The sequence below is a fragment of the Homo sapiens genome, chromosome 5 (genome assembly GCF_000001405.40).
Source record: "Homo sapiens chromosome 5, GRCh38.p14 Primary Assembly".
NCBI lineage: Eukaryota > Metazoa > Chordata > Mammalia > Primates > Hominidae > Homo > Homo sapiens.
The window spans coordinates 149,297,292-149,317,137 of record NC_000005.10 but is presented as its reverse complement, the minus strand read 5'-3'; the positions used below and the strand labels follow the sequence as shown (position 1 = coordinate 149,317,137).

The following is a 19,846-nucleotide window of genomic DNA, read 5'->3' as shown; positions in this document are numbered from 1 at the left end:
GCTGGAATACAGTGTCTCTATCACGGCTCACTGCAGCCTCAACCTCCTGGGCTCAAGTGTTCCTCCCACCTCAGCCTCCCAAGTAGCTGGGATTACAGGCATACACCACCATGCCTGGCTAATTTTTGTATTTTTGGTAGAGACAGAGTTTCACCATGTTACCCAGGCTGGACTCAAACTCCAGGGCTCAAGTGATCCTCCCTCCTCAGCCTCCCAAAGTGCTGGGATTACAGAGGTGAGCCTCTGTGCCTGGCCTTGCCATGTACTTTTATAATATTTTTTTCAGGGTTAGAATATTACTGCATATCCAAAATATACGATTTTTAAAAACTGGATTCCAGTACATGGAACGCTACATTTACATGAGCAAAATAATGTTTTCACCTTCAAATCACCTTTAATTCACATTGAATGCATTTTTAATAAAAAGTACCTAAATATTTTTCTCCAATAAATTTCCCTATAATATGGGTTGTTACTTATAAACCTGGCACGTTCTATGCTGGAAAATAAGATACCCCTGTCTTGTTATCGTGGAGGAAACTGAGAAACTGAGGCCCAGGGATGGGCAGTGATTTGGGCTACGGTCACAGGGAGCATAGAAATACAGTGGTCAGCTGGCTTTTCCTTTCGTTGAGTGTCAGGGCCTCTGGGAAGGAAAGTGATGGGAAGGCCTAGAGTGTTAATGGAGTGGGGCTTAGCCTCCCAGTAGGCTTGGATTCCCTCCCCTGCCCTGGGGGTGAGGTGGACGAGGCATGAGGTCTCCTGGCCTCAGCCCCCAAAGCCCGCGCACACAGGACCTGAGCACCCTTCCTCCCCGTGCCCTGGACCCACCACAGCAGGGAACCTCCTCCTCGGTGGAGGACGTCTGCAGGTCATCGGCCAGTGTCTTCTTCTTGGAGAAGCCAATGATACGGGTGATCTTGCGGCCCGCAGCCCTGCTCATTGAGCCCTTCAGTTCTGCCAGGCTGCTCTTCTTCCCTTTGCCTGTTGGGGAAATGGGTCAGGGGAGTGGAGGGAGCCCTGAGTCCCACCCATCCTTAGTCTTCCTTGTGGCCTTTTCAGCCTGCATACAGGATGGGCCTGCAGCTCCAGGGATGGCAGGCCAGGTCACCTTACCCAGGTCTACAGAATGGTCAGAACCTGCTCTGCCGCTGTGTGCCCATGGGCAAGGCCCGGCCCAGTTCCAGCATTCCCCAGCCTGAGCCCCCAGAGGCTCCTACCGTGATCACAGGTCTCCCGGCGGCCAAGGGTAGAACAGTTGTCACCCACACCCACGCTGTCAGAATCTGAGGTCTGCTTCTCTTGGGACAGCCTCTGAGGAGGGACACAGGCAGTCCCTCATCAGAGGGCACATTCAGAAGTACCCAAATTTCCCTTTATTGGTTCAATCTCCCTCCAACTCCCCCAGCACATGATAATTAGCTAACAAATGTTTGTCAGCAACTATCCTGTGCCTCATACCATACCAGGTATTGAAAAGACAACCATGACTTAGATATGGTTGTGTCTTTGGGCAATTCACAGTCCATTTGGGGAGGGAGGCAATTAATTATAACACTTTGAAATGAATGTCTTAGGAATTTGGACTGTATTTGGCAGGTGACAGGGAGCTGGGAAAGTATTTAAGTGGAACACTCATGTAATCCAAATTGGTTTAGGAAGTTACTTCCAGTGGCATTGTGGGGACAGACAAAAGCAGACAAGACTGGAAGCAGAAGAGCCACTTAAAAGAATGTCATCCTGGTCATGATGAGACTCGACAAGAGCATGAACCAAGATGACAGTGAGGATGGAGAAAAAGAGATGAGCTGGCAGACATTTTCAAAACAGTCATGGCGGGACCTGGTGACCAGCAGGAGTCCATTATGATCCTAACTCGGAGGAGAGGATGGGAAGGGGACACACACCCACACACCCACACACAACATGTCAACAATTTCATTGCCAGCCCAAATTAGTTTTACTCATGACACCAACTCTAGACCATTCATCGATTCATTCATACAAGGTCCATTAAGTGTCTATTAGGTACCACGGGATGTAGAGTGGAAGCAATGATGACTCTCTTACCACTTATTAGCTGTGGGAATGTGGGAAAGTCCTTCTGTCTCCCCAAGGCTGGGTTTTTTCACTTGAATTCCACCCACTTCAGAGGGCTGCTGTGACGGAGCCAGCTCAAGTGAAGGCCCATGGACTGTATCATTTCTAACACCTGTGTGATGTGCTGCCATCTTTCTTCAAGAAGCTGAACTGTGCCAGCCACACTTGGGCCAGGATTAAATGACATCCACCCACTTAAGAAGGTGGAATTACAGAGCTCTGAGGCCCCAAAGCCTTTCCTGCCAAGATCCTCTCAAACCAGGCTCAGCTTATGCTTCACCATAAGCATAGCACCGGGGGACGGAGAGGACAGGAGATCATGTGCACCTCTCAGTTTCCAAAGGGCTGGAAACATGACAGCTGTCAGAAAGGGGACAGAACTGTCAAGAATAAAGAATCACCTCTTCAAATGGTGAAACAGAAGTTATGGCTCTATGTGTTCTGCAATGGTGTACAGATGGTAAGTTTTTCATCAGATAGAGCAAATACAAAGAGGTAATATGAGCACTTTGGAAAGAACTCGATGGTGACACTGCAATCACATGATTCTATGGAGAACAGACCCACCAATATCACATCCTCACCCTCACTCTCCACCCAAAATACCACCCCCAACATTCTAGTTACCCTCCCTGTGGATGCTCAGCCACAGGAAAGCTCAACTCTGCAAGCTTGCTTCTTCTTCCCCTCTACACATCTTTCAAACTGCACCTCAGCATGTGCTGGCAAGTGCGTGCACACACACACACTCACACACACTGACACTGTCAACGCTGCTTTCCCTCCGGCCTCACCAATGGCAAAGGCTAAGTGAGGATAGGGTTGAGCTTCTCCTCCTGCATCCACCTGGGCACATGAGTACCCATCTTCCACTCCTGGTGACTCTGCCTCATCCCATACCTTTGCTTCTGTTCCCTCCCCTTGGCCCACCTCTGCCTCAGTGAAATCTTGCCTATGCCTTAAGGCTCAACATAGGTGCCCGTCTTCCCTCATCCTTCTTGCCCCTCCAGCCAGCGTGGGCCCCTGTTCCACTCACTGTAGCTTTCTGGGATACTCTAATAGGCTGGTGGGCTCTCCTTTCTCTCTGAGCTTAGCCATACTGGCCGTTTTCAGTTCCATGCTTCTTCCTGCTCCTGCACCTTTTCCCTCTGCTTACAATGCCTTTTCCTTCCTCTTCCCTGCTAATTTTTCATCTTCATCTGAAATGTCACTTCCTCAGAGAAGCCTTCCTGGGGTGCTGAGGCAGAGGCAGGGGCCCAGGGTACCTGGTACTTTTCCCTTCTAGCACTTACACAGCTTGGCATTTATAAGTCCGTGTGACTATTTGATTCATGTCTGCTTCTTACTGAGCTGGAAATGCTGTGAGGGCAGGGCTTGCACCTGTTTGTGTTTGGACTGCATTTCAGTGGCTAGCACAGTTCCTGGGGTGCCCCGGATATGTGTCAAGCAGGTGCTCAGGATCCTGGCCTTGAGAGGAGGGGCAGCATGGTCATCAAGAACTAGACTGTCTGGGTTCAAATCCTGGCTACGGTTCTTATTTACTATGTGACCTTGGGCAAATCTGTGTCTCAGCTTTCTCCTCTGAAAATGTACCTACCCAAAGAGTTGTTATGAAAATCACCTCAGTTAATACACATAAAGCATTTAGTACACTGCAGGGCATGCAGTCACAGTCTATAAATACTAGCCTCGATTACATCGTGCAAGGCCCATGTCTGTGGGTCTTAACCCTTCCCCTTGACTGTAATCTCCTTAAGGGGAGGACTTGGGTCTGAGGCCCTTTGTTACCCACAATACCTGGCAATGTGTAGGTACTGGGACATATTTGCTAACAGCCTGACCAACTGGCTAATGACTGCTTCTCTCATGTTCCAAACAGGCACGCTCCTTCTCTTTTTTTTTTTTTTTTAAATGAAGCTTTGCTCTTTTTGCCCAGGCTGGAGTGCAATGGCACAATCTCGGCTCACCACAACCTCTGCCTCCCGGTTCAAGCAATTCTCCTCCCTCAGCCTCCTGAGTAGCTGGGATTACAGGCATGTGCCACCATGCCTGGCTAATTTTTGTATTTTCAATAGAGATGGGGTTTCTCCATGTTGGTCAGGCTGGTCTCGAACTCCTGAACTCAGGTGATCCACCCGCCTCGGCCTCCCAAAGTGCTGGGATTACAGGCGTGAGCCACTGCGCCCGGCCTACTCCTTCTCTTTCTCTTTCTTTCTTTCTCTCTCTCTCTTTTCTTTCTTTTTTCTGAGACAGGGTCTCACTCTGTTGCCCAGGCTGGAGTGCAGTGACGCAATCGTGGCTCACTGCAGCCTCCACCTGCCAGGCTCAAGTAAGTCTCCTACCTTAGCCTCCTGAGTAGTGAGGACTACAGGCATGTGCCACCACACCTGGATAATTGTTTTGTAACTTTTTTGTTTTAGAGATGAGGTCTCACTATGTTGTCCAGGCTGGTCTTGAACTCCGGGGCTCAAGTGATGTGCCCACCTTGGCCTCCCAAAGTGCTGGGATTATACACCCTCTTTTTCTAATTGACAAATTTCAACTTATTTTTCATGGCACAATTGCAATGTGACCTCCTCCTGTCCTGGCAGGGTGCATCACTCCCTCCTCTGGCTTGTACTGCACTTTGGGCATAAGCACTCGTTTGTTCATGCATTCATGAATTCAGGAGACATTTATTAAGCACCTACTGTTGTGCCAGCTCTGTGCTGGGCACCTACAGTTTGGCAGTTGCCTGACTTTCCCCCCAGCCAGTTAGTTCCCCTGGGGTTGAGCCCGTGTTGAGTGGCCACTGCCTGGCCTGGGGAAGACTTAGTGGAGACAGATATACCTTGTCCAGGTCCAACTTGCACAGGAGGACTGGGGATCTGGGGACCTCCACTCCCTCAGCTCCCCCAACTGGCTTGCTCACTTCTCGGATGACCTGTGAAGAGGACACACAGCTGTGAACGGGTGGGCAGGGAAGCTGTTGATGCAAAGGAAGAATGGGGACTGTGTGGTGAATGCTGTAGAACAGAGGGTCAGGGCCACTGTGGGGAACAGATGGACTGACACAGCTACCTGCATATGTGTGGGGCACATGGGTTTGTAAAGGCTTTCTCCCATATCTGTCCCCTGGGCTGAAAAGATACAAGGATGGGGACCAAGAGGCTTATTGCTAATTAGTTGTGTGGTCTTGGAAGAGCCACTTCCCTGCTCTGGGCCTCAGTGTCCACATCTGCAACATGGGAATATACTAGTCCTCTGCTTCCCTCCTTGGGTTGCCTGAGGACAGTGTGACCATGGATGCGAAGAGTGATGGGAACCATAAAGCCTCACAAGCATGAGGGACCTGCTTCTGTGACCATGTGCACCTTTACAGCAACCTGTAGGGTAGCTGGAGTTATCACCTCCATCTCCTAAAGGCATCCGCTCACTTGCCAAGGCCACACAGCAATAAGCATGAGATCAGGGAATAATCACAGCTACCATTTGTTGCTCACCTAATTGGTGGCTTTCTGTGGATTATCCCATTTTATCCCCCACCAGCCTTGTAAGCCCTGAGTTACAGCTTAAGATGATGAGCCTCGCAGAGGGGAAGCCACCTGTTAGGTGGCAGCAGAGCCAGAAACTAAATGCAGGCAGTTCAGCTGCCCACTGTTAACCTCTGGGCTAACGGCCGCCCAGGATCAATGTCAAGGCAAGTCTCTTTTAACTCCAGTCTAGGGATTCGTCTGCCGACCCAACCAGCTCGTGGAGGGTACAGGCTCCCCCAACAGGCAGGTTCTCTCCCTTCTTTCCCTCCTGAGACAAAGGGGTAATGAGAAACACCAAATGTTCCATCATGGGGGCTGGTTATCACAGGAAGGAAGGGGCTGGGTAGAGAGGGAGGTGTTTGGTTTCATTGTTCCAGCAGGAAGATCAGAGGAGGAAAGGATGGTGTCAGAGTGAAGTAGAGGCGGTGCAAGGATGAGGTCTGCTGTAAAGGAATGGGGGGTGGGGCATCGCAGTCATCACAACAGTAGTTACTGACAGTTACCACACACTCACTGCCTGGCAGGCGCTGTGCCAAGTGCTCTCCAGAATCCTTCCAAGGACCATTTCACAGATGAAAAAAACAGGCACAGAGGGTCAAAGTCATTTGCAGAAGGTCACACAGCCAGTAAGTGCCCTTTAGGCCTGGGGCTTGCACTCCAGTATGGGTGCCACAAAGTCCCCTCTCCCATGTCATCACTATGTCATCCTGCCTATGGCCTTTGGAGTAGATTTACTACTTAGCTTCAAATTCTGGCTCCCACCACTTTGGTTGTGTGACGTTTGGCAAGTCACATAAGTTCTCAAAGCTGTGTCTTAGTTTCCTCATCTGCGAAATGGGAACAATAATATTTTGTCCCATTTTCAAGCAGAAATGAGGTCACGTATGTAAAGCTCTTGGCACAATGCATGGTACAAAGTAAGTGCTCATTTTGTGGTGACTCTCATTGTTCTGTGTAGCTGCAGAGGCAGAAACTGGCCCATGGGTGGTCATTATAAGGATGTACGTTTCAAGGCAAGGAAGGATTTTTCCTTTGTTGTTGTTGTTTTAAGAATTCACTGGTCTAATGATGAAATCAGCTTCCTTTGTACATACTAAGCCTCCAGTTCCAGGAGGTATACAAGTGCAGGCTGAATAAGCCCACAGTAAGGATTTGGAAAGGGAATTCAAATAACCAGAAGGGACACAGGTCTCCAGCATGAAGTCTGCCTCTTGGAGATATCCGAGGCCCATTTCCATACATAAGCCCTAGCCACGCAGAGGGCACTTGGGCTCAGGCACTGAGCAAGAGGCTCTTCCAGGGACAGGAGCCAGCTCTACTGAGGGCTGGCTTGGGGAAGAGAGAAAGGGTGAGAAGGCGGGAAGGTCAGGTGCAGGCCACGCACCTTCAGCCACTCCTCGGCCTGCTCTCGGCTCTGCAGTGCCAGCACCAAGACCTCGGTAGCCCCCTGGGTGAAACGCAGCTCGTGCCTCTTGTGCCGGCTGTCCTTGGGCACGTAGATGATGCTGCAGGTATCCAGTGCCAACCTCAGATGTGGCTGCCGATCCTTGGAGCTTTTGTAACACTGGACAGGGAGAGAAACACATCAGGATCTTCTGAAGTAGAGGGTAGAGGAGGGAGACATCCTCACACAAAGGCTCGGGGGAAGCCCGACCTCCCTTTAGAGACCTCCCCCACCCAGCCTAGCCATGGGCACTGTGTGAGGATAGCTGAAGGGTCCAGGCTGTTCACCCTGGAAGAGAAGCCTGGGAGGAGGCATCTTTGGGCAATTTTCAGTCATAACTACCTATTTAGGAAGAGGCAGAATGTAGCACAATCCTAGGAAGACCAGGTTAGCCTAAAGAACCAGAGAAGAAATGGGCTGGCTCGGGAGGAAGCCAGTTAAAAATCTATCTGGCAGGAATTTGGGAGACAATTCTAACAGCGATGGAGGGTTGGCCTTGGGAAGTCAATAGTTTACGAATAATGATTCTCACTTCCCCATTTTTTTAATGAGCCCAGTATTACCTTCATAACAGAGCCAGTCAATGATATTACGAAAAGAGAAAATTATAGGCTAATTTCTCTCATAACCCAATCGCAAAAGCCCTGAACAAAATGCTAGCAATTGGATTCCAGACGTATATAAAAAGCAGCTACATCAAGACCAAGTGGGGTTTATTCTAGGAATGCAAGAGCGGTTTACCATTCAAAGATCAACTGTATTATTAATCATATGAATAGAAAAAAAGGCCAGAAATCACATATCTGAATAGAGCTAGAAAAAGTATTTGATAAAATTCAGCATCCATTTAAGTGAACTAAGAATAGAGGGATCTCCTTAATGTAATAATAAGGAACATTTTCATCTACAAACAACCCACAGCAAATGTCATCCTGAATGGTAAATTATTATTATTATTATGTTTAGAGACTGGGTCTTGCTTTATCACCCACGCTGGAGTGCAGTGCTGTGATCATAGCTCACTGCAGCTTCAAACTCCCAGGCTCAAGCAATCTTCCTGCCTCAGACTCCTAAGTAGCTGGGACTACAGGTGCATACCACTATGCCTGGCTAATTAAAAAACATTGGTTTTTTTTTTTTTTTGGTAGAGACGGAGTCTTGCTTTGTTGCCCAGGCTGGTTTCGAACTCCTAGCTTCAAGTGATCCTCCTGCCTCAGCCTCCCAAAGTGCTGGAAAAACAGGCATGAGCCACCATACTCAGCCTTAACAGTGACTTCCCTTTTGAGCTCTAGACTGAGACAAGGATGCCTGCTCTCCCACTTCTGTTTGCATTGTGCTTGAGGTCCTAGCTACTGCAATATGTGGAGAAAAATATAGAAGGGGTAGGATTGGAAAGAGGATGGTCATGTCCCCTGGACTAGTGCCGCCCTGGAGTGAGAAAAGGTCATGTTTCAGATGCATTGATGTTGGGCAAGGCTTGTCAACAGATTTCTGGGGAGAGAAGCTATTCTTTTTCTGAAATTATGTTTATCCTCTTACTTTGTAATTAAAGGTGCTCTTTCTTTTATGAAATGATAGGATGAGAGATGGTAAATATAAAAAAATCCTTCTTAAAAAAAGCAAGTAATAGAACGATTGAGTTTTGTAGGGGATTCGTTTTATAAAAGACAGATGTAAGGAAATGAGGGTGGAAATGTGTACACTAAAGCTATTACAATAGTGGTTATCTCTTGGTCAAGGAAATTATTGATGTTTGGTCAATAGTTTTTTAAAAATCACTTTTCATTTGTTTTTCTCTAGTTTTATAAATAAGCACATTTACTTGCATAATGAAAAACAACAAAAATTTAAAAGTGATTAAAAATTCTGTTTTTTTGTCAAAACAAAAACATGGTAAAGCCTGTATCAGGTCTTTTTTTTGGTTTTTGAGATGGAATCTCTCACCGTTGCCCAAGTTGGAGTGTAGTGGTATGATCTCGGTTCACTGCAACCTCAGCCTTCTGGTTTCAAGCGATTCTCCTGACTCAGCCTCCCAAGTAGCTGGGACTACAGGCGCACACCTGGCTAATTTTTTGTATTTTTAGTAGAGATGGGGTTTCACCATGTTGGCCAGGCTGGTCTCGAACTCCTGACCTCAAGTGATCCACCTGCCTTGGCCTCTAAAAGTGCTGGGATTACAGGTGTGAGCCACCGTGCCTAGCCCAGGTCTTTAAATTTAAGAGAGAGAGAGAGAGAGAGAGAGAGAGAGAGAGAGAGAAAGAGAGGCACAGGGTGTGTGTGTGTGTGTTTAAATTCTGCTCCAGTGGGGAAAGTCCTGATCTTGGGAGCATGGGGCCTTTGAGCTTCTGTGCACACAGTCAATCCAGGTATGCCCAAGGCAGACATATCCACATGTATGTAGAGACACACCCACATGCAAGTCCATGTGAGGCCGAGGCACATGGCTGCTGCTGACCACTCACCAGGAGCTGGTCCTCCCTGATGACCGTCAGCTGCTTGGCCCACTGCCCGAAACGCTTTTTCCGCAGCAGGAAGGCACATATCCTGCATTCCCTCACCAGGTGCATGGAGGCCTCCTCTGAGGGCCACTGGTGTCGGGGCTGCGGGCTCTTCCCTTCCTCCTCCTCTTCATCGTAGGACTCATAGGAGCTGCTCATTGCGTCAGAGTCATTATCTGCAGGCGTCACGGGAAAGGATCCATCACTGTGCCATCCTGGGGAAGCACCTTCTCACCCCTCTGCAGCGATCCCTGCACTGGGGACTGAGGCTAGGAAGGCATGGGCATTAGGCATGACACTGGTAATGACTAAGGCCCCTACTTTTTTTTTGGAGACGGAATCTCGCTCTGTCACCCAGGCTGGAGTACAGTGGCGTGATCTCGGCTCGCTGCAACCTCTACCTCCCGAATTCAAGCGATTCTCCTGTCTCAGCCTCCCAAGTAGCTGAGATTATAGGCACCCACCACCACACCTGGATAATTTTTGTATTTTTAGTAGAGATGGGGTTTCACCATGTTCGCCAGGCTGGTCTCCAACTCCTGACCTCAGGGGGTCCACCTGCCTTGGCCTCCCAAAGTGCTGGGATTACAGGTGTGAGCCACCACACCTGGCTGGCCCCTACTTTTGCACTTTGTTGTACTGATTTATCCCTTGCTTTGCGATCTTGGTTACTTCCCTTCTCAGAGCTTCAGTGTCCTCATCAGTAAAATGATCATAATAAATGACAGTACCCACTTCAGCCGGCTATTTGAAGACCAATGCATGGACAGTGTTTAGCCAAGTGTTTGGCACCCAATAAATGCTCAATAAATTTATGCTATTGTCATACCCCTTCATCTTGACATCTGTTGTCTCTCGTTATTTTCAGCAATAACCCAGCAAATCTCCATTTTATAGATAAGGAAACTTGAGGCTCAGCGAAAAGAAATTACTCACCTAAGATCAGTTATCAAAAGTCAGGGAAAGGGTTAGATCCAGGCCTTCTGACTCCCATTCCAGCGGTCTTTCCACTGAGTGCTGGGGTCACCCAAAACAAGGGTGTTGGGGCCTCTCTAGTGACCATGGTCTGGGTGAGGGGCTGGTGGGCACACCCATGCTAAGGGCCAGGACAAGGCCTGCTCTTTGCAAGGGCAGAAGCCCTGCCCAGCATCTGGACGCCCACCTGGTACTTACAGGAGCTCTTAAGCTCGCCGTTCACCCTGGTTGCAGGGTAGCTGCTGTCTGCGTCCTCATAGTAGCCATCCACAATCGAGTGTGAGGGGCTGCAGCCATCTGTGGGTTGTCAGAAAGAGCTGCACTTTGGAGAAATGCAGGCAGACTCCAGGGGCCAGGACTGGGGGAGACCCTGACACCCCTGCTCCACCTCAGGGAAGAGACAGCAGGCACTCTGAGCAGCTCAGGCCAGGGTGTGAGGCCTCCTCTCTGCATCTCATCTGTTCTAGCTCTCCACAGTCCCTCTGCTCCTGTCACCAGAAACTGCCCTGCCAGGCTGTCATATCTCCCGGCCTGTATTCATGCTGTTCCCTGTGCTCTCTGTCTTCTACCAGAGGACTTCTCATCCATCAAGACCCAGATCAAAGATCTTTCCTCTGACTTTCTCAGGCAGTGAGTGGTCAGCTCCTCCTCAATGACCCCAGAGCATTGCATGTGTGCATGGTGTGTGTGTGTGTGTGTGTGTGTGTGTGTGTGTGTGTGTGTGGTGTGTTGGTCGCAGCTCTGATTTTTGCACTGCAGGGAGCAATGTACCAGTTGCTTGGGCTGAGACCTCCCTCCCTGCTCTGCCTTCTCATCTTTTTCCACCTCAGCCCTTCCTCTTACTTCCTTCTAAACCTCTGGGACTGCAAAGAAAGAATTGGACTAGAGGAGATAATAATATCGTGCATAATAGTGACTACAACTACCTGTGCAGATTTTCACAACACCTTCCCATTTGGAGCTGGGAGGTAGTACGGTGCAGTGCTGGGGTTAGTGGGATGTCTCAAACTGTATTCTGTATCAGAATCACCTGGGAGTTGTCTGAAAATGCAGACCCCTGGGCTGTATCTCCAGAGATTCTGGTTCATTGGAGTGGGCTGGGCTGAGGAATCTGCATTAAAAAATGACTATTTAATAGGAAAATTCTAAACATCCATAAAAATAGAAAATGTACTGGACTCCAATGAGTTGGGAAAAATTTATTCAATGATGTTTTTAAAAGGTTATTTTGATGCAGGCAGTCCCTGGAACATACTTTGAAGCTCAGATGGTTAAGAGCATGTGCTTTGGGATCAATCAGAGTTGAGTTCAAATCCTATCTCTATCATTTACTGAGTGACCTCAAAAAGAAAAGCCTCTCTGTATTTCAGATTCTTGATCTGGAAAGTGACATGAGCAATTCCCACCTTGGCTTAGTGATACAATGCACGTCAATTCTTAGGACAGCGCCTGGCACACACAATGTGCTAAACAAGTGCCAGCTGTTATTACTGTGATTGTCTCCTTTGATTCCCACAAGGCAGGGAGGTAGATATCAGCCCCATTTTGTAGACAAGGAAGCAAGCCACACACAGTTTGCTGGTGACAGAGCCTGGATCAGAACTGAGGGTGCCAGCTCAGGGGATGGTGCACATCCCCCTCCAGGAAGCCTTCCTTCACCCAGTCCAACTCACTCTCACAGCACACTGCTCTTCAGAATGCTGCTCTGGGCTCCTAGCCCCTCCTGTGCATCTGTTTCCTGAAGACGGCAGCACTGACATTCCCAGTGACTGGGACACCCAGTTCTATCTCCCAAGTGAGGCTCGGAGCCCGCCTTTCCAGCAGGCACCCTGAGGCCTCAGACGCTGGACATCTCCTGGGAGGTGAACGGGGGGGTCAGGTGTGAAGTAGGGAAGGGTGAGGGGGCGTGGGGACACAGTACTCAGACACCTGGCAGGGCTGGACGCTGTGAGCGAGAGGAAGGATACTCCCTGATGGGCTTGGCGTGCTCTCCCTGCACAAGGTTCCTGGCCCTTCCTGAAGCCCTCCCTTTCCTTCTGCCCCAGGATTCCAGCTGCTTCTGGGAGGTGTCTTCTCTGCCCTGTCTGAGAGGGAAGTGAGTTCCCTGGGGAGGTGAAGGAACCCCATATAGCCAATAGGCTTGACCTGGGATTCAAGGCCCAGCAGCACTTTGTTCCCTGTCCTTGAGTGTATAAAATAAAGTTGCCTGTTTCACACCCCCACAGCTGTTTGCGATAACACAGAACCTGAGACTATCAAGGCTGAAGAGGGCTGTGGATTACCTGATCCAAGCACCATAGCCAAAAGGTGCAATCAGCCCAAGGTCCATCAGCTGAGGAATGGATAAGCACAATGTGGTCTATCCGTATGGTGGGATAGTGTTCAGCCATAGAAAGGAAAGAAGTTCTGAGGCATGCTACGACATGGATGAACCTAGAAAACATGCTAAGTGAAAGAAGCCAGACACAAAAGGCCACAAATTATATGACTCCATTTATGTGAAATGTCCAGAATAGGCAAATCCATATGGACAGAAAGTGAATTGGTGGTTAGCAGGGGCTGGGGTGGGGAATGGGGAGTGACTGCTTAGTGGTATGGGCTTCCTTCTGGGGTGATGACAATGTTTGGGGACTAGATAGTTGTGATGGCTGCAAATACTGTGAATGTACTGAATGTACTAAATGCCACTTGCTGGACAGCTTGAAATGGTGGAAATGGTTAATCTTACGTGTATTTTACCACAGTAAAAAAATTCACCCATGGTAAAAAGCACAAACAGTAATAGAAAAGAGTATGAATGAAAAAAATACGTTCCCTTCACCCATATTTCTATTAATTTCCCGCAGGAAAATCCTGTTAATAGTTCCTTGCATATCCTTGAAAAATTGTTAAAACGGATGCATGTGTGTGTGTGTGTTTGTGTACACCCTATTTAAAAAAACAAATGGAATTGTTGTATGCAGTATTTTGTGTTTGACATTTTCAATGACATAATAAAACCGATCTGTCTTTGCTGATCAGAATTCATTTTAGAAATTTGATTATTTTTTGGTGGTTGGAGAGCATTCCACTGTGCTACTGAATGACAGAGCAGCATCACACAAACATTATCTTATACAAATTCAACTACTCATGCTGAGCCATCCAAACATTAGGATGTAGTTTCTTATATGTAACGTTAAGTCCTTTTACCCAAACAAGTGACTTCATCTGATCTCTTCATTCAAAAGAACGTCCATGTGTTGCAATGCTGGAGGAAGCCGATGAAAAGACCAAAGACTCTCCTTTATGGCCAGTTTAAGGGATTTTCAATGGTAACTTGTACCAGTGCCCACTAAATTATTTTACTGCACCCACCTACTAGTAAAAATATATACATATATTTATGTTTATTTTTCTATGTTATATATGTATATATAAACTTTTTTTTACAAATATGCTATTATCAGATTATAAATGCTACAAAACATTCACATGGAATTTATTAAAAGATATGTTGAATTAAATAGAAGTAAAGCTTCTGATATTTCTGCCTACATCATGTTATGAACCCCTGGGTACCCCCACTCTACTCTGACAGCCTCTGGTTTAGACCACGTGCTTTTTATTTTACGCATTGACTCGATAACCTAACCCACCTATAGGAGGTCATTCTACTGAAACAATTTCACCACCCACTCAAGAGGAGCACTTGGGTTAGCAGTTTTAGTAGGGGGAACAGTATAGTGGTGGTCATCTGTGTAGCTGCCTCCTAGCACACTGACATGGTGCGTCTGCTTCCTCTTTCTTGTTTTAAGGGTGGAAGCACAGAGATCCAGAGGGCAAGGGGATTTTCCAAGGCCACACAGATCTGGGACTAGAACCTAAGCCCCCAGCCCCTGGGGCCCCACATATTGGTCCACCCAGGCTGTCACCGAAGAGGCCAGGTGCCCAGGGTAGCTTCTCCTAAGCCAATGGTGACATGGTTGGGAGGGTGACAGGCTTGCAGTTCCAGCTCCCACAGGACACAGAGGAACTTAAATTTGGCTTCTCAGGGACAGGAAGTCCCCAGCCCCACCAAGAGGACCAGAACTTACTGTGGGAGCTGATGTACTCAGGCGACTTGCCGGGTCCCAGAGGAAGGGCCTCTTCATAGTAGTCCTCAGGGGGAGGCTTGTTGGGGAGCGGTGGAGGCAGGTCGGCCGCCTGCAAGGGGACAAAAAAGAGGGCTAGGGGAGCGGAGCAGGGTAGGGAGAGAGAGGCTGAGGGAGAGGGAGGCAGGAGCTCGCAGAAGGCAGGAGGCAGTGTGAATGTGAAGCCATACCTTTTATAGAGCCACAGAGCTGGTAAAACTCGAGGGCATATTTATCCAGTGATTCTTACCCCAATTTTTTTTAATCATCAGGGTTCCCCTGGAATGTCTGCAAGTTTTGTGGACTGCCAAACAGTAGTAGTCATACTTTTTACTGAGCACATGCAGAATTACCAGAAGCTACTGTGAGTTCTGCACTACTCTGTAACCACGTCTACACACACACGAGGTGCAGTAGGACAAGGAAGCGTGAGGCCTGTTCTTTAGTGAGGCAGGACCACCCGCAGCTGAGTGCTGAGCCACTGGGCCAGGGGAACCGTGGCTTTACAGCTAAGTTCTGCCACGTGTGAGTTGTGGGACATGGGTCATATCACTCATTCTCTCTGAGCCTCAGTTTCCTCATCTGTAAAATGGGGATAACAATTGTGCCAGCCTCATTCAGTTGCTGTCAGCATGTAAAGGACATAGTAAGTTGCTAGTGACTGGTACTGTTGCTGGTGATGATGACAATGAATTATGCAGTTGACAGACAAAGCTTGTTGTGATTATGAGCCCCTTGCTCTAATTCCATGGCCCCAAGGTTGCGCATCCTATATCTGGTCCAGTCTTTCATTCTGTAGGTGACAAACTCAGGCTCAGAGAAGAGAAGCGACTCGCCTAAGGCTACACAGCAGAGTCATGGGGGTGGGCAGAGGTCACCCAACTCCTGGTCCAGAGCTTTTTCCATAGCCTGGCTTATGTTATGCAATCGGAAGTTGGGCTGGTGACGTCCTTCGGGCCTGAGGGCACAGGTAAGTTCACCACATTCTCCCTGCTCAGCACAAACACTGTGACTTCCCAGTCAGGAAGGTGGCAAAATAAAGAATAAAAATAAAAATAAATAAGAAAAAAAACACACAGCGAGCACATCACGGGCCATTGAAATGTTCACATGGTGCTGCCTGTGCCCTCACCCACAACCCGAGAGAGACAACAGGGTCCAGAACCGCCAGGAGAGCACCCAGTGGGAAGGGGAGAGCTTCCCTTGCCTCCTCCAGAGGGACAGAGGCCCTGAGGTGTGGGAACCCAGGCCATGACTCACGTTTCTCAGGCGTGGGCTCTTGGCTAGCTCAGGGCTGGCTCCTTTGCTGGGCTCCCCATCATCCTCTGGCATGTCCCGAAGGTCACTCAGGTCACAGTCTACAGAGGGACAGGCCATTGGGCAAAGAAAGCCAAGGATGAGCAGCACAGACCAGGGGAAGAGGGCTGGATTTGGGGTCAGGAGGCCTGAGTGTGAGGTCGGGCTCCACCACCCCTCCGTTAGTAACCCTAAACAAATGACTTTTGACTCTGAAACTCATCTGTACGTGGTGGCAATGATGCCTGCCTTGTCTGTTTTCCAGGATTGTAGAGAGGATCAAATAAAATCATACTTGTTTTGGTACTTTGGAAATCTTTGAGGGTTATGCTATAAAGGCACAGTGTGCTCCCTAAGTCTATGAGTCCCCAAAACTCTCTCACCAAGGCCTGTAGCTTTCTTTCTGTGTTGAACAGAGCTGTCTTCCCTCAGGATAGGGCTAGGACGGCAGGTACTCTGCATGCAGCCAGCTCAGCTGCTCCCATGCCCGTGGCAGCCATGCAAGCTATCATTTCTGCTGAGCCACTGCATCGCTCAGCCCAGTGTCTCAAGTGGCAATCACCTGGGAGTGGCCGGTGAGGAAACACCCTAATGTGCCATGCCTTCTTTGGACTGCATGGTCATCCCTACCATTCCTCAAGTCTCTGAGCTGAATTCCTATTCCTATGCAGACTTTGATTAGACTTTCAGAGCTGGCAGAACCCAGAGGGGCCAAGGACTGGCCCAAAGCGACTTAATGATGCGATGTTAGAGCCAAGCCCAGCCCAGTCGGGGGACCCTTCTGCATACACAGGGAAAGAGGGATGGCTCCGTAGCTGAGGTTGGGAGAGGGTCACTTACCAAATTCTTCAAAGAGGGATTCCACGAAGCTGGGCCCCGAGTGGAGGTCTGCTGTGTTCACATACAGGTAGGAGACCTCCTTTGCTGTGAGGAAGAAGGGGGACATGCCAGCTGTGAAGGAGGAGGGACCAGGTCTCCCCCGTCCCACTCATACTTCTAGCCCACATGGGACACAGTGCTCACTTTGCAAAGCGCATTCAAGTCCTAAATTATTTCACTGGTTTTCAAACTTTGTTTTAGTTTTTACACTGTTATTGAGGATCTCTTTCTCCAAGTAAAAGGATGTCCAGAAGCCCAGTATGGAAACAGATTACTGGGGCTGTCAGGCGTATGCTAGGGTGTGTGCATGTCATGTGTCAGGTGTGGTGGGTGTGTGAGGGGCTGTGTGTGTTGTAGGTCAGTGTGGGGGGTATGTGGGTGTGTGTGTTCTATGTGAGTGTGTGTGTTCTGTGTGTGTGTGGAGGGCAGGGGTGAAGGAGTACAAAGAGCACAGCCAGGGCTGTCGGTGGGGAGGTGGGGCCCCAGTGGACAAGGACATTGGGCAAGAGCTCGCATGGAATGCATTGGACGCTGTGTCCAGGGCTTAGCCTTCCTCCTGCGGCAGCCCCTGGGGGTGGGGGTGGGGCGGAGGGTTCCTGCATGTTCTTGAGTCAGTGAAGGGAGGTTTTGTTGTCCTACATAAGTGGAGCTCCTCCAGGCAGGCTGCTGGCGGCTAACCTGGAAGGGGCTGCAGGCTCTGCAGGATGGAGGCCACGGCCATCTTCTTTTCCAGGGTGGTATCGCTGAGGTACTCGTGGTCCAGGAGGCTGAGCAGCCCGGTGAGCTCTGGGAGCAGCTGCTCCAGCACTGCGGAGGAAGGCAGACGGGCACAGTCACAGCTGCACAGTCACAGCTCTGTGCCCGGGAGTTCGGCCCCCCACCACCTAGAGTTGGGCGGAAGGGGTCAGAGGGCAGGTCCGGGTGTGCAAGCGGACCTGGGGGCTCTCAGCTGTCCCAGACCTGCCACGCAGCTCCCGTGAGAGGGTCCTGCTCAGTTAGTCCTGTGGTGTTTCTCCGGGTCTCCCCACTCTACCTCAGATGGCCTTGGCCCAAGGACTGGACCTCCCTGGGCTCATCTGGCAACCCTGAGCTCAGGCAGCCCCGAGCAGAGGTTCTCAGGCCTCCCTCTGTCCCAGATTGCCCTCTGCTTTGCTTGACCAGGGTCCTTTCTCACTGCAGCTCGAAGCTCAGCACAGGTCTCAGGCTGGAGCCCCTGGCCATCCAGGACACAGGCAGGAAAGAGAGCCTTCCTGTCCCATCAGTTCATGTGCTTCAATCTCTGGAACCTTCTGTTTCCGGTGCCTTGGCCACAGCCAAACTAAACATTAACCCTCCTCACTCCATGTTATCAGTGCCATTCTTTCTTTCCACGTGACACCAATGCTTCTCAAACTTGAGTGTGTGTAAGAATTACCTGGGGATCTTGTCAAAATGCAAATTCTGATTCAGGAGGTGTGCGGTGGGATCCGAGATTCTGCATTTCTGATCCGCACCAAGCTGCAGCTGATGCTGGTGGTCCTGGACCATCTGAGTTGCAAGATCCTAGAGCACAGAGTCCTTTAAGGACTTCAGTGTGCCAAGACCATGATGTCACTGATGTCTCCCTGTCCTGAAAAGTAACTTGGGACTTGGTTTGCCTTAGAGCCAAAGACCAGCTTCATCACAGTAGTATTGCCCTGCTTTGCAACCCACTAAGCATTTAGGCATGATAACAGAAGCTAACCTGTACTGAACAATCATTATCAGTTATATTCAGCCCTTTTACATTTTATTGTCTCATTTAAATCGTATATCAAGTATTTTATTATCTTCATTACATGGAGGATGAAACTAAAGCTCCAGGAGGTTAAATACCTTCTCCAGGATCACACAGCTAGCAGAGCCTAGAGTGAAGCTGCTTTCTTCATTCTCTTCTTTTAACCACAGAGATATATTGACTCACAGTATTTTCTTTGTTCCTCCCAGCAAGTTTTGAAGTAGGTCCCATGATCACCCCTACCTTTTAGATGAAGACACTAAGGCTCAGAGAAGATAAATAACTTGCTTGAAGTTACACAGAGGCAAGAAGAAAAGCCAGGACTTCAGCTCCAGCCATGACTCCTAACTCCATGTGCTGTTCCCCACCCTGGGCCCTCCTGAGGAAACAGGAGACACTGACCCGGAGCTGCAGGGCCTGGAGGTGTAGGAGGAGATACAGCACCTTGCAGAAGAGAACAGGCCCTGGAGCCAGATCACCTGGGTTCAAATTCAGGCCCTATCATTCACTAGCCAATCACTTACCCTATGGGTTCCTCAGTTTCCTCCTGTAAAGGCGGAGGATAATAACAGCACCTGCCTCATAGGGTGGCTGTGAGAATTAATGACACCAGACATGCAAAGGGCCTTGCCCAGCACAGAGTGAATGCTCACCACAAGTCAGCTATTCTTGCTGTCACTGAAGAATTTACTACACTGATCTGTGCTGATCCCTGAGTGTCTGCCTCCCTTGGCAGGCTGTGAGGCTCTAGCAGGCGTGGACTGGACTGTGACTCTCTGCTTACTTATCATCTGGTCTGGGGCCTGCTCAGTGTGGGTGCTCTTCATGTGTCTGACAAGACAGGAATGAACAGATGACCACACTAGGACCTTCTTTTAAATATAAATCTTATGTATAGATAGTGACCCTTGTTAGGAAAACATGATGCTGCAGTCTCTCTGTGGCAAAATCCATCATCACCCCAAACTCGTTGACAATGAGCTGAAGGTTGATGTGGACAGCTCCTATCTCATGTGCACTCTCAGCTGCTAGACACTGAGGGAGGGGCTTTCTGTGCGTGTTTCCATCCAATCCCCAGGGCACATCTGTGAGCAGTCCTATTGGGATGCCTTTTTTTTCAGAAGATGACGCTGAGGCTGTGGCAGCTATGGGATAGTGGCACAGCTTGAGAGGTAGAGCCAGACTGATTCTAAGTCTGTGTGATCCCTAGGGATCAGAGTGGCACAGCTCTGGGGGGTCACTGCTTGCCTCCAGAGCCCAGGCGAAAG

The 19,846-nt window shown here is 49.2% G+C and overlaps 1 protein-coding gene across 6 annotated transcripts in view; it reads right to left on the bottom strand.

Moving 5' to 3' along the window:
* The window catches only part of AFAP1L1 (actin filament associated protein 1 like 1), a 71,779-nt gene that overhangs the window by 26,500 nt on the left and 25,433 nt on the right, over positions 1-19,846 (bottom strand). For 2 of the 6 annotated variants that reach the window (NM_152406.4, NM_001146337.3), the window contains exons 2-11: positions 17,501-17,629; positions 16,784-16,867; positions 15,908-16,005; positions 14,612-14,720; positions 10,734-10,832; positions 9,525-9,736; positions 7,003-7,182; positions 4,934-5,026; positions 1,224-1,317; positions 835-987 (exon numbers count right to left, since the gene is read on the bottom strand). In NM_152406.4, coding sequence (NP_689619.1) covers positions 835-987; positions 1,224-1,317; positions 4,934-5,026; positions 7,003-7,182; positions 9,525-9,736; positions 10,734-10,832; positions 14,612-14,720; positions 15,908-16,005; positions 16,784-16,867; positions 17,501-17,629 — 1,251 coding nt within the window. Of the gene's footprint in view, positions 1-834; positions 988-1,223; positions 1,318-4,762; positions 5,027-7,002; positions 7,183-9,524; positions 9,737-10,733; positions 10,833-12,817; positions 12,969-14,611; positions 14,721-15,907; positions 16,006-16,783; positions 16,868-17,500; positions 17,630-18,236; positions 18,365-19,846 lie in introns of those variants that run through there. The other 4 variants (XM_047416723.1, NM_001323062.2, NM_001323063.2 and 1 more) reach the window with 4 other exon arrangements.